Here is a 14,546-nt window from a genome sequence, read left to right on the forward strand (position 1 = left end):
GGGGGTTCCAAACAAGAGTGTTCCAAACAATAGCACATCACTCCAGTGAGTTTCTAGTTCCCTGAGGGACTAACCGTGGGGAGATGTGCTCATTGCCCTGTACAGACAAGCAGAAGACTCTGGCAGGAAGGACTTGGGTGCCAGAGACTAACTTGGGTTAAAATCCAGCTCCATCACTCACCTGCTAGGTGACCTTGGGCGAATAATTTACCTTCTCTATACTTCTGTTTCCTCCTCCACAAAATAAAGATATTATCTCAGGTGACCATATTATGTATTGTCCAACCCAGTGCACTTTGGAAAGAAAAAAGGTGTCTTTTACTAAGACAGTCATGTACCACATAATGACATGTCGATTAACTATGGAGTGCACATACAATGGTGATCCCATAAGATTATAATGAAGCTAAAAAATTCCAGTCACCTAGTGACACAGCAGCCTTTGCGACGTTGTAGTGAAACACATTACTCACATGTTTGTGGTGATACATCTGTAAGCAAACCTACTACCCTTACTTTTTATTGTTATTTTAGAGTATACTCCTTCTACTTATTTAAAAAAAAAAAAAAGTCAACTGTAAAGCTGCCTCAGGCAGGTCCTTCAAATGGCATTCCAGAAGAAGGCATTGCAATCCTAGGAGATGATAGCTCCATGTGTCTTACTGCCCCTGGAGACCTCCCAGTGGGTAAGAGGTAGAGGTGAAAGACAGTGATATTGATGATTCTGACTCTACCGGCCTAGACAAATGTGCATCCTTGTGTCTTACTTTAAAACAAAATTTTAAAAGGATAAAAACATTTTTAATTTAAAAATAGAAAAAAGCTTATAGAATGAGGATATAAAGAAAATATTTTAGTACAGATGTACAATATGTTTGTGTTTTAAGTATTATTACAAAAAAGTCCGAAAGTTGAAAAAATTAAAGAGTTTATAAAGTTAAAAAGTTGCAATAAATTAAGATTAGTTTATTATGGAAGAAAGAAAAATATTTTTTATAGACTTAGTGTAGCCTAAGTGTACAATGGCCGTAAAGTCTCTAGTAGTGCACAGTAGTGTCCTAGGCCTTCAAATTCACTCACCACTCACTCACTGACTCACCCAGGGCAACTTCCAGCCCTGCAAGCTCCATTCATGGTACATGCTCCAGTACAATCACATGATGTACAGGTTTATAGACTAGGAGCAATAGGTTATACCATCTAGCCTAGGTGTGGTGTAGTAAGCTACACCACGAAGGTTTGTGTAACTACACTCTATGATGTTCGCACAACAATGAAATCACCTAATGAGGATGCATTTCTCAGAAGGTATCCCCATCATTACATGACACATGACTATACTTGCATCAGGACAGTAAGCATAGGCTGGGATTGGCACACGAAAACCAGGATGCCTGGTGATCCTAACACCCCACTTTCTTAAGGGTGTTTGTGAAGATTAAGTAACATAATGGGTTCACAGGGTGTGATTAAGAGGTAACCCTATATAATTTATACCAGGCTAAAAAGCAAAAAGTCATAGCCCTTGCTGATGATACCTGCCTACTCCATTGGGCCTTGCTTTCAAAATCCTTTTGTTTACAAATATATGCAGGACTGGCAGCTTGCCACATCTGGTATGATAAACGGGTGTGCATTTACACAGACACAGCCCTCCCTCTCACCTGGTGGCACTACCACAGAGGGGCAGCTTTCCCTTTGAACCCAGCCAGGAAGGTGGCAGCACAAGGCCCATTTATCATTTGCCCTGCATCCAAGGCACTGGCCACACAGTGAGGTTTTCAGACGTGTGACAGGCTCAGCATAGACACGTTGCTCTCAAGGAGTGGAATCTTCTCAAGAGAAGTAAACGAAGCCCAAGTACATCCATATATCTGACAGCGGACAGGTGCCCACACTTCCACGTTTCACCTTGGCAGGAAGCAACAGCATTACAATAATATAAGCTCCTATTTACTTTACTGTGAGCTAAGTACTTCACTAGGCTCTCTGTGTTTTTCTGACACCAAATACATCGTTCCAACACAAATTCTCATATTCTCTGACACCAGTAAGGTGTCCAACAATTCAATTTAATTCTGACACTATTCCAAGTAAGCACAGACCCCATAGGTTAAGGACTCTGTCCTACAAAACTGGGCCCACTGCAGATGCTGGCCGGAAATGGGGTCCCCAGACTACCTTCACTTTGGCCCAGCAGACAACAAGTTCAGGGGTTCCCAGAATCACTCTTTAGGTTTGATAACTTGCTAGAACAACTCACAGAACTCAGGACGGTGCCATGTTTACTGTTACAGTGTATTATAAAGGATACGAATGAACAGCCAGATAGTGAGGTCTTGGAGTGTTCCAGATGCAGGTGCTTTTGTTCCCATGGAGTTGGGATGAGCTACCCTCCCAGCACATGGATGTGTTCACTAACTTGGAAGCACCCTCAAACCTCAAAAGCTTCTCCACTTCAAAAACCTGCTTGGCACACATCTTCCCCACCTAAGTCAAGGGCTACATTCTCCTACTTGGTGCAGCCCGGAAATCACTAAGTCTTTCTTTCATCTCTCTTTTATATTACCAATTCATCAGTGACCCCAATGGCTCTACTTTTCAGACATACAGAGCCGGTGGTGAGGCATGGTGGCTCATTGCTGTAATCCCAGAAGTTTGGGAGGCCATGACAAGAAGATGGCTTCAGCTCAGGAATTTCAGACCAGCCTGGACAACACAGCAAAACCTCCTCTCTATTAAAAAAAAAAAAGATAGCCAGGCATGGCGGTGCATGCCTATGGTCCCAACTATTTGGGAGGTTGAGGTGAGAGGATCATTTGCACCCTGGAGATAGAGGCTGCAGTGAGCTATGATCACGCCACTACTCTCCAGCCTGGGTGACAGAGTGAGACCCTGTCTCAAAAACAACACAACAGTATTGAAGATACAGAGAGGCAATTACTCCCCGCTCCCTACCACTGCCAGGGTGGTCCATCCCTCATCGTCTCCCAACTGAATCTTTGCAACAGCCCCCTAGCTGACCTCCCTGCATCTACCCATTGTCTCCATCATTCTTTTCACAGCACCTCAGCCAGAGCAATCTAGTGAAAGCCTGGGCAAAAACTCGCCCTCAGTAGCCCCTGTCTCACTTGGGGTGAAAGCATGGGGGAAAACTCCCCCTCAGTGGCCCCTGTATCACTTGGGGTGAAAGCATGGGCGAAAACTCCCCCTCAGTAGCCCCTGTCTCACTTGGGGTGAAAGCATGGGGGAAAACTCCCCCTCAGTGGCCCCTGTCTCACTTGGGGTGAAAGCATGGGGGAAAACTCCCCCTCGGTGGCCCCTGTCTCACTTGGGGTGAAAGCATGGGGGAAAACTCCCCCTCGGTGGCCCCTGTCTCACATTGGGGTGAAAGCATGGGGGAAAACTCCCCCTCAGTGGCCCCTGTCTCACTTGGGGTGAAAGCATGGGGGAAAACTCCCCCTCTGTGGCCCCTGTCTCACTTGGGGTGAAAGCATGGGGGAAAACTCCCCCTCGGTGGCCCCTGTCTCACTTGGGGTGAAAGCATGGGGGAAAACTCCCCCTCAGTAGCCCCTGTCTCACTTGGGGTGAAAGCATGGGGGAAAACTCCCCCTCAGTGGCCCCTGTCTCACTTGGGGTGAAAGCATGGGGGAAAAATCCCCCTCGGTAGCCCCTGTATCACTTGGGGTGAAAGCATGGGGGAAAACTCCCCCTCAGTGGCCCCTGTATCACTTGGGGTGAAAGCATGGGGGAAAACTCCCCCTCAGTAGCCCCTGTATCACTTGGGGTGAAAGCATGGGGGAAAACTCCCCCTCAGTAGCCCCTGTCTCACTTGGGGTGAAAGCATGGGGGAAAACTCCCCCTCAGTGGCCCCTGTCTCACTTGGGGTGAAAGCATGGGGGAAAACTCCCCCTCAGTGGCCCCTGTCTCACTTGGGGTGAAAGCATGGGGGAAAACTCCCCCTCAGTAGCCCCTGTATCACTTGGGGTGAAAGCATGGGGGAAAACTCCCCCTCGGTGGCCCCTGTCTCACTTGGGGTGAAAGCATGGGGGAAAACTCCCCCTCAGTAGCCCCTGTCTCACTTGGGGTGAAAGCATGGGCAAAAACTCCCCCTCAGTGGCCCCTGTCACACTTGGGGTCAAAGCCGATGGCCTCATGATTCCCCTCTGCCCATCTCATCTCATCCCACACCCCCACTTATCCCTCCGCATAACACCACCCTCCCTGAGCTTCCTAAAACACACCAGGCCACACTTGCCTTGAGGCCCCTGCATCCTCCGTTCCTCTGCTTGGAAGACTCTTCCCCAGATATTCCTGTGGTTTCCTCCCCACGTCCTTTAGTTCTCTGACCTCCCATTAAAAATAGCAATACTTTCTACCCTGTCCCCACGCCATCCCAGCACTCCCTAACCCCCCTTCTCTGGCTTATTCTGCTCGTTAGACTTACTGCCATCTAGCATATATTCTTATTTGTTTATTGTTTAATGTAAAGTTCAAAGAAATAAGAATTGTTTGAGTCTCTGCTTTATCCTTTGTGACCAGATCAGTGTCTGTCTTGTAGAGGCACTTAATAAATATTTGTTGAAAAAAAAAAAAAAAAGGAAGAAAGGAGGGAAGGAAAGGGAAGAAGGAAGTGAAAGGAGGGGTAAGAAAGAGATCTTATCAAGGAAATGTTGTGACCAACCATGTATCTGGGAGAGAGGAAAGGGACACTCCAGCTTGAATCCAAACTTTGACCATGTCTGGTATGTCTGGCCAACTGCTGCCAGATGTTGAGGTGGGACAGCCAGAAGTCCAAGGGAATGACAGGGTGAGAAACCTCCTGGGAAGAGGACGTTCCAACAGGAATCAGGCATATTCCTGTTGGACCCAGCCTCAGAGTCTAGTGGTCAGAGTGGCAGGTTGTGCCCAAATGAAGCAGGCTGTCTCTCACTCTGACGTGTCCCAAGTTTAGCCCCATGGACTCACAGCTTAGCACCCTGGAGAGGGAGAAAACTGAAAGATCTGATTCACTCTTTGGAGCATAAGCATTATGAGACTGGACCCCACGTGGGTGCCAAGTTCAGTGTAAAAAGATATCATGCTAGATTTTGTGTTTGTGCAGCTTTCTCCACACTTCGCAAAAGCATGGCTGACACCCAGTTTGGCAACTGAGGAAGCACTCAGGCCTGGCTGCAGAGAAAGAGAGAGAGATGACGGCAGAAATGGCAACTGGGCCCATCGGGGAACTCAGTGTTTTATGGACATATTAGTAAACACAGCAGAAGATAAAAGAAAGAGAAAGGCCAGGCGTGGTGGCTCACAACTGTAATCCCAGTACTTTGGGAGGCCAAGGCGGGCAGATCACAAGGTCAGGAGATGGAGACCATCCTGGCTAACACCGTGAAACCCCGTCTCCACTAAAAACACAAAAAATTAGCCAGGTGTGGTAGCGCGTGCCTGTAGTCCCAGCTACTTGGGAGGCTGAGGCAGGAGAATGCCTTGAACCCAGGAGGCAGAGTTTGCAGTGAGCCAAGATCGCACCACTGCACTCCAGCCTGGGCTAAAGAGTGAGACTCCATTTCAAAAAAAAAGAATGAAAAAGAAAATTCTATGACACCCCAGCCACTGAAGTGATAGATTATTTGTTCATGAGCTCATGAAAATTCCCTGCCAAGACAGCAAAATGTGTGGGGTGATTTTTAAGGAATAGGGGCAGTATGAGCAAGAAGAGACCAACACCAGCAGGAATGACACTTAGGATTCCATTGGAACCCACCAGCTGATGGCTAAGATAAAATCCAATCCTAGATTTGATTTCAGAAGAGCAACTTTTGGTGCATTCTCTTTTTATTTATATAAAATTTAAGAGCCCAGAGAAAGGTGATTAATTAAATTGTTGGTTTTTGCAAAGTCAGGCTCTCCAGAAACATGCCTTATTATATGCAGGTGATTGGTTTATATGTAGAGATAGCCTCCTAAGCATGGGATTTGAAGGGCCAATTACAATATGACCACAAGCTGACTTCTTTAGTTAATTCCAATTCCTAGTGTTTCTATGAAAGTCTTCATTCAGGTAAATCTACCCATTTTAAGATTGTAACCCCTAATAATGAATAACAAAAATGCTGCTCTAGACGAAGCAATAGAACAATGAGAGGTTCATTTGTATCTCTCCAGACATCCAAAAGTGAACAGCAGACTGAAAATTCTGCCTGTGGTGACATATCAATTAGGGACATAAAGAGCTGCTTATTTAATAGAATCAATTAGGAGTCTCAACATCAAAAGGGCATCAAAAGAAAATAAATAAGTCACCTAGGGAAATACACAAGCACTGTGGATGTAAACTCTGTTTATGTTTTTTCAAGTTTAATTTTATCTTGACTTAGCGCAACCATCATTAAGCAAACATTTTTAAGTTCAATTGCCTCTTGAGTGAAGCCAGCTACCATCATTAGGCAAACATTAGGTTTGGGACATGTGTCAATACAAAAATGATTTGCTGTATTGTTTGCCACACTGATATAGAACAAATTCTGGGCCAGCTTGAGTATATCAGAGTCAGCTTGTTTTATCCTCAACTCACCACTTCCCCAACTCAACTCCAAAGCTCCTGTAGATCAGAGAAAATTTTCCATTCCCAGTGGTTTCTCTCCTTCTCCCCAATGCCTGTTATGACAGAAATGGGGGAGCTTGCTTCCCTTTTCTTCTTTTCCCTTAAGATTCAGTCAGAAGAGAGGGACTCCAACTCCAATTGGTTCAGTGATCTTTCCTTAGGGGACACATTTAACAAATCAAGCTCTCTTTGAGCTAGGTCATGTGTTGACCAATATAAAATTATAATTGTTTCTTGGACTATTTCTAGCTCAAACACCCTCAGTATCTGAACTGTAATCATATGTTGCCTTTTCGCTACTCTTCTAAAATTATCCTAGCACTACTCTGTATGAGAAAATTCATGCACAGAAGCTGACATCTGCTTTGTGTTTTCCATTCCAGTCCCAAGTCACAGATTCACAATGAGGACTTCAGCAATCTCCTGTACACTTACTTTAACATCCATGCTAATGCTCATGGCAAGCAATGGATAGAGTGGATTTTATTCAGGGCAGACCTTCTTAGTTATGGGTGTGAATCCCAAGGAAAACTCTCCAAAACTGTTGGCTGATATTCATGCGGCAAGGAGACCGGATCCAAGATATTAGGTTGTGAAAGTCAAGCCCCAGCCTCTTATGGGAAATTTTTATTAACGTTTTAAGGATCTTTTGCAAATTGAAGATGGCCATAAATTTATTTTAACACTTGTTCCTTCAAGAGAGATTTATTTTTTCAGCCCTTGAAGAAAGAGGACTGGCCTCTTCGACCAGTAAATAGGGCAGAAGTGATGATATGCCAGCCCTGGGCCTGGGCTTTTAGAAGACCGGCAGCTTCTATCTTGGTCTCTTGGAAGCCAACACCCAAGTGAGAACTGCAAAAACTCCAAGACTGTCCTGCTGTGAAAAGCCCAAGCCATGTGAGAAGACTCTGGGGATGTGACACCATGTAGAAAAGAAAGAGACCAAGAAGCATCAGGGTGTCTGACATGTAAAGGAAGACCCATCTTGAAAGCGAATCCTCCAGCCTCAGCTGCCCTCATGAATGCTAAGTGAACCAAAACAAACCACTCAGCTGAGCCTTTCCCAAATTCCTAATGCCAACAAAATTGTCAGCAATATAGGCAGGCTGTTAAAAACTATTGAGTTTGGGAATCATCTGTTATGAAGCTCTAGATGATTGGAGTATGACTGACCATGATTGGCCTATGAGAGGTTCTTTTCTTGCATATGACAAGTTTGATCCCACATCAGGGCCTTTCCATGTGCTTTTCCCTGGGATGCTCTTCTCCTAGGTGTTTTCCTGCCTAGATCCTTCTAATCATTCAGGTTGAGGATCAAACCCCTCTAGCTTGGAAAGGCCTTCTCTGACCACCCTATGTAAAGTGGGTGCATGTGAACACATGCCCTTAAGCCACCCTTTGGAAATTTCATTACTTGTTCATATGTTTACTAGTTGATAATGAAAGGAAATGCAGCTTTGCCTTCTCTATGTGTGGCCTTATTTCAATCACCCAGAACACTGTATGGCACACACAAGATATTCAGGAAATATTTGTTGGCCAAATTCATAGATAAATAATATATTTATCAAACACAAGGGAAAAAAGGAGATATAAGCATAAGTTGCCAGAATATTTGAGGAAACAAAATAGAACTCTGTCTTAGTCTGTTTGTGTTGCTATAAAGGAATATATGAGGCTGGGTAATGTGGAGAAAAAAAGGTTTATTTGGCTCATGATTCTGATGGCTGGAAAGTTCAAGATTGGGCGTCTGCATCTGGTGAGGGCCTCAGGCTGCCTCCACTCATGGCAGAAAGGGAAGGGGAGCTGGTGTGTGCAGAGATCACATGGGCAGAGGGACAGCAAAAGAGAAAGGAGGCGCAAGGCTCTTTTTAACAACCTGCTTTTCAGGGAACCCATAGAACAAGAACTCACTACCATGAGGACAGCTCCTAGCCATCCATGAGGGATCCGCCCCCATGACCAAACCCCTCCCACCAAGCCCCACCTCCAACGCTGGGGATCAAATTTCATCATGAGGGTTGGGAGGAAGAACATTCAAACTATAGCAATCTCCGAGAGGAAAAAGTTATAAATTGTGATAAGATTATGTTGTAATAAAGCAAATAAAAGCTTTTATCCCTCATTTACCTGGTTCTTGAGGTTCTTAAGTTTCCAAACTAAGAATCTAAAGGAATGTTTTAAAATTTTCCTTCCTGATTCTCCAGAGTAAAGACCTCAGACATTAAAATATCATTTACAACAGACATTATTATACAGCAACGCTTCTCGCTTAAATGCAACCCGTTCTTCTCACCTCAGGACTCAAATTTAAAAGGTATACTAAGGTGCTAATTTGTTAAGCTAAAACCCCGAAATCAAAGCTATTACCACAGTGCCACCTTGTGGCTAATGCTGATTCTGCACTTTTTTATTTTTTAGTTTTTTTGAGACAGGGTCTCACTGTCATCCAGGCTGGAGTGCAGTGGCTCAATCATAGCTCATTGCATCCTTGAACTCTGGGTTCAAGCAATCCTCTCACCTCAGCCTCCTGAGTAGCTGGAACTACAGGCACATACACCACACCTGGATAATTTTCTTTTCTGTTTTTGTTTCCTTCTTTTTTTTTTTTTTTTTTTTTGAGACAGAGTTTCGCTCTTGTTACCCAGGCTGGAGTGCAAGCAATCTCGGCTCACCTCAACCTCCACCTCCCAAGTTCAAGTTATTCTCCTGCCTCAGCCTCCCGAGTAGCTGGGATTACAGGCATGTACCACCATGCCTGTCTGATTTTTTTTTTTTTTTTTTTTTTTAGTAGAGATGAGGTTTCTCCATGTTGGTCAGGCTGGTCTTGAACTCCCAGCCTCAGATGATATGCCCGCCTTGGCCTCCCAAAGTGCTGGGATTACAGGCATGAGCCACCATGCCCGGCCTTGTTTTCTTTTTTTATAGATCAGGGTCTCAAACTCCTGGCCTCAAGCAATCCTCTTGCCTCTGCCTCCCAATGTGCTTGGATTATAGGCGTGAGCCACTGCACCGAGCAACATATTTTTCTTTTAAAACCAACTGGGAATGAATATAACTTTATATAACACCAGGTTATATAAAGTGTTTGGTGCGCATGATCTTACGTGAGATGTGGTCATTCTGAGGTCAGTAGTGTCATCCCTATGTTATGGAGATTAGGAGAGAGAAAAGGACTGTGACAAATACTTACTGATACCCAATGTGTGCTGTGTTATGCAAGGGCTTTTGAATAGCTTCTGTCTCTTAATACTTGAAATTATACTGGGATTTTGATACTATCCTCCTTTTTGTACATAAGCACATTTGTGCATGATAATGTTACGTGTCTTGTCATACATCTAGTAAATGAAGATTGGTCCCAGTAATACTGACCCCTGGAGCTGTTTTCAATCTATGGTATAGCATTGCCTCTCCCACAAAGTTAAACTTCTTCACCAAGTTTGACAAGCCTGTCAATTTGAGACAAAACTCAAACCCCAGACTTCTGGCTCTAATGTTCATTCATTCAACAAACACTCACTGAGCTCTGATATGGTTTGGATCTATGTTCCCACCAAATCTCATCTCAAACCGTAATCCCTAATGTTGAAGGTGGGGCCTGGTGGGAGGTAACTGGGTCGTGATGGTGAATTTCACATGAGTGGTTTAGCGTCCCTCCCTCGGAACTGCCCTCATGTTAGTGAGTTCTCACAAGATCTGTTTATTTAAAAGTGTGTGGCACCTCCCCACTCTTTTGCTCCTTCTCCAGCCATGTGATGCGGCTGCTCCCCCTTTGCCTTCCACTATGATTGTGAGTTTCCTGAGGCCTCCCCGGAAGCCAAGCAGATGCCAGCATCGTGCTTCGTGTACAGCCTGAAGAACCACGAACCAATTAAATCTCTTTTCTTTATAAGTTACCCAGTCTCTGGCATTTCTTTATAGCAATGCAAGAATGGACTGATACAAGCTCCTACTGCATGCAGAGACTGTGCTGGACACCAAGGATATGCCAGCAAACTGTCTATCATTATGTTCTTTCTATAGCCTTAGAAAACCAAGTATCACCCATGTCTTTCAAAGTTTGGCCCACATATCAAAATCCAGTAAGCTCTAGGAAATTCTGGATGATGTGTTCATTCATTCACTCATTCATTCAATAGTCATTAAAAACCTGGAAAAAAGCCTACTGTGGGCAAAAGCAGAGGTGGTTCCTGGCATCATGGAAATTATATCCTGGTCGAGGAGAAAGACATTAATCAAGTAATCACAATAAAATGCAAAATTCCCATACGGTCAACACAATACAACTCTCCTAATTAAATGCTCTTATGTACCACACAAAAGCATGTGATTGGGAGAGTTGACCAGTTCAGGAGGTCAGCTCACACGCCCCTGAAGAAGTGATGACGGGCCAATAGGACAAGTAGGAGTTAGGAAGGAAAAGGGGGAAGGAAAGAATTCCAGGCAGAGGGTTCTGAGGTGCAAAGGCCCTGAGACACTTGTGAGAGATGATATGTGTATGATCCTAAAACTAAAATCCTTTCCCAGGGCTTCTGCCTTACATTAGAAAATGGAAATACATTCTCAGCACTTCAGCTGCTGCTCCAATGTGCTCAGAATCTTTAGGAACCTAAAAACTTGGAACAACTCCTAAATGCCCACCTTGTGACCATGAACTATTAAAAAGAGCCTCAAATATGTGTGGTAGTTTTACTTTCTAAAGTACTTTTCCATTCACCTTATTTTGACTCTCTCCCGCAAGCCACGTGGGCTAGGTGAATTGTATGCTTATTCTCGCACGCCAGAAAGAGGCACCCCAGAAAGGCTGGGTGACTTGTCCACATTAGTGCATTAGTATGTGGCCCAAGCAAACCTTCATTCCATCCCAATCTAATTATCTGTCCACCAGTCTTCCTCACAATGTAATTTAGCCCCCAGTTACTGCTAACTTACCGTACTGCAATGGGCAACTAACCATTTGGTGCCTAAGTTAAAAATAAATCTAATGTTCGTATTATTCATACTCTTAGCCTTCTGTGCAACAATTTTGTTGTATGATTTTATCAGCAGGAAATACTTTGGTTAATACTTTGGCCTTAAAAATAGATAAACATCTTCTATTTTCTTGGCTATCATATCAACACTCAACTGGGGGACTTAATCAACAACTGATCAATTCAAACTAGTTTAATTAATTTTTTCCACTGAATTGCTCTACTCTAATGACTTTTTATCAAAGTGATCAGTTATGTGAGAATTGGGAAGACAGAACAGGATAATTCAATTAATTTTAAATTTCATGAGAGGGTGGGATTGGGGTGAGTTGAGTAAAAACTGTCATTTACTATTTTCTGTAGATAAAATTTAAACTAGAGAAAATTGCGTTCTCCAAAACAGTTGCCAGAAAGAAAAGCAAACCCTGTCTTTCATTCATGTATGCATGCATGCAATCATGAATTCATTCAATCAGTCAGTTAACATTAATTTTGGATCTACTAAGCGCCAGATCTGTGCCAAGTGGAATGCTATGGAAATGATTCAGAGGAGTATATAGTACAAACCTGTGCCAATTACCAATGTATTATTGCCTTTCAGCTAGCTATAGATCCATCTTTCATTGCCTGCTCTGTGAAAAGTTCTTTGAAGATGACATCATGCAATACTTTGTCAGTAGAGAATGCTGGAGAGACACTGCAGGAAGAAGGGGAGTCTCTCTTCTGGTGCTCTTCTGTTGGCTTCTGGCTTCTACCAAGAGCTGCTGCCAGCAACATGTTAGGAGAGAACATTGGCGCTCATCCTCATGGAGTTTCAGCAACATCCCCAGGGATGGGTTTCCAGTGAGTCTTGCAGGCCCCCTAGCAATCTGCTCCCAGCCTCAGTCCACCTGCACTTATGAGGGGTATCTCCTGCTTGCTGGTCTCTTCCTCCATTTTCTACTCACCCCTGCTCAGAGGACTACTTCCTGCTTGTAACTGCATACCAGCTCTGGTCAGGGTAACTCAGAGAACCACCCCACACAGTGGACTGTAGCCACATCTTCAGCAAGTTCTGAATCCCAGCTTTGAGGGATGGACTCTTTCCAAGTGGATCCTCCTTTAGGATTCTTCTTCAGTCCTAGGATACTCTGCAGCATTCTCTTTACACCATTATAGATCATCTCTGATTTAGTTAATAATCAGAGATTTAGCGGTGTTTCTTAACTGAGGTGCATTTCACAGACAAGAGGACTTTGGTAATGACTGGAGACACTGTTGGTCGTCACCACTGCAGTAGGGGTAGGAGGTGGGTTGCTACTGGCATCTAGTGGGTAGAGGCCAGAAATGCTGTTGAACATCCAAAAATGCACAGGACAGTGCCCAGAATACAGAATCCTTCAGCCCCACATGTTAGTGGGGCTGAGGTTAAGAAACTCTATGGCAAATGGTTCTCATTCGAGTTACTGTGTGGTTTCTTTCTCCTGATTTGACCCTGACTGATGCAGAGGGTGAGAAGGACATGAAGGCAGATAAATTATTCCCTGATAAGTTTTATCATGAGGTTTTTGTCTTAGCCACGCTGCCTTGTCTACACAACCCTGCTTTCATCAATTTGACCTGATGTTGCTGATCGAGTCAGGAAAAACATGAGTGCTGGAGATTGAGAGGAGAAGACCAGAGAGGTTTTTGTTTTATGGTTTTTGTTTTCCTTAGCTTGGCATGAATGTTCCTAATTGTTGAACAGGGAGCACATTTTTCACGTGCTCCAACATCTATTTTCAGCTGAAAACAGATGGTAGGAAGGGTGGGTAAGGACACCATGAGATTGCAGCTTATGTGCTCACTAACAAAGAGAATATAAACATGAAATACTAGAAAATAAATTCAAGAAATATCAAAGTAATTCAAAATCACCTCCTATTAGAATGAAGAAGGCCTGGCCAGGCGCACTGGCTCACGCCAGTAATCCCAGCACTTTGGGAGGCCGAGGTGGGCAGATCACCTGTGGTCAGGAGTTCGAGACCAGCCTGCCAACACGGCGAAACACCCATCTCTACTAAAAATATCAAAAATTAGCCGGGCATAGTGGTGGGCACCTGTAATCCCAGCTACTCAGGAGGCTGAGACAGGAGAATTGCTTGAACCCGGGAGGCAGAGGTTGCCGTGAGCCAAGATTGCACCATTGCACTCCAGCCTGGGCAACAAGAGCAAAACTCTGTCTCAAAAAAAAAAAAAAAAAAAAAAAAAGAAGGCCTTGAGAGACTGCTAACCCAATTGTACCCAAAGTAGGAGGAAAATCTATGTCATCTGGAGATTTTTTAAAAAGATACAGCTTCTGGGGCTCTAGCCCATGATTATCAAATATTATTTATAGAGGCAATAGAGTTCAGCTCCATTATTTTATCCAGGGCCACTGCTAGCCCATAAGGAGCCTTTGTGAAAATTAGAAAAGGCACTCCTCGCTCTGGGCCAGGAACACGACATGGCAGGTGGAGAATTTGGGTTTCAGTTTTCTCCTACCTCCCTCAGCCAAATTTCCTTGTGCAGTGCACAGCCTGCACAACTATACATGGGAGCCCTGCTATGCAGAATGAGGAAATTGAGTCCCACAGCACTGAGTTTCTTTCTTTTTATAATTTGCTCTCTGGCCCATTCATTCACAAATTCATTTACTCAACCATCATTTACTGAAGACTTGATATATGCAAGATCTGTTACTGTAAGATGAATAAAACACTGCCCTTTCCCTCAGGGAATACAAAGTCTAGGTGGAAAATAACTTTAACCAAATGTTTTTGCTTCTTAACTAAATGTTTTTGCTTCATCGTTTCATCTGATCTTGCAACAATGTGGAGAAGTAGGAAGTATAGTTATTATCCTTATTATACAAGTGAAGAAACAGAGAGTCCGAGACATGTCCGAAGTCACACATCTGGCCAGTCCCAAATTGGAACCAGAAGACAGGGCTCTCCAATCCCTGTGCAGTACCT

The 14,546-nt window shown here is 44.1% G+C and overlaps 1 long non-coding RNA gene across 1 annotated transcript in view, besides 1 other annotated feature; it reads right to left on the bottom strand.

Annotated features, from left to right (window-relative positions):
- Nucleotides 1-14,546, bottom strand: part of LMCD1-AS1 (LMCD1 antisense RNA 1) — a 280,512-nt gene that overhangs the window by 187,450 nt on the left and 78,516 nt on the right. The gene's annotated exons all lie outside the window — the stretch shown is intronic.
- Nucleotides 2,988-3,488: an enhancer, noted in NCBI's record as "H3K4me1 hESC enhancer chr3:8453270-8453770 (GRCh37/hg19 assembly coordinates)". NCBI's record gives its function as "activates a minimal SCP1, AML or CMV promoter by ChIP-STARR-seq in primed H9 embryonic stem cells {active_cell/tissue: H9 hESC(primed)}" and the evidence as "EXISTENCE:reporter gene assay evidence [ECO:0000049][PMID:30033119]".

The sequence above is a fragment of the Homo sapiens genome, chromosome 3 (genome assembly GCF_000001405.40).
Source record: "Homo sapiens chromosome 3, GRCh38.p14 Primary Assembly".
Taxonomy (NCBI): Eukaryota; Metazoa; Chordata; class Mammalia; order Primates; family Hominidae; genus Homo; species Homo sapiens.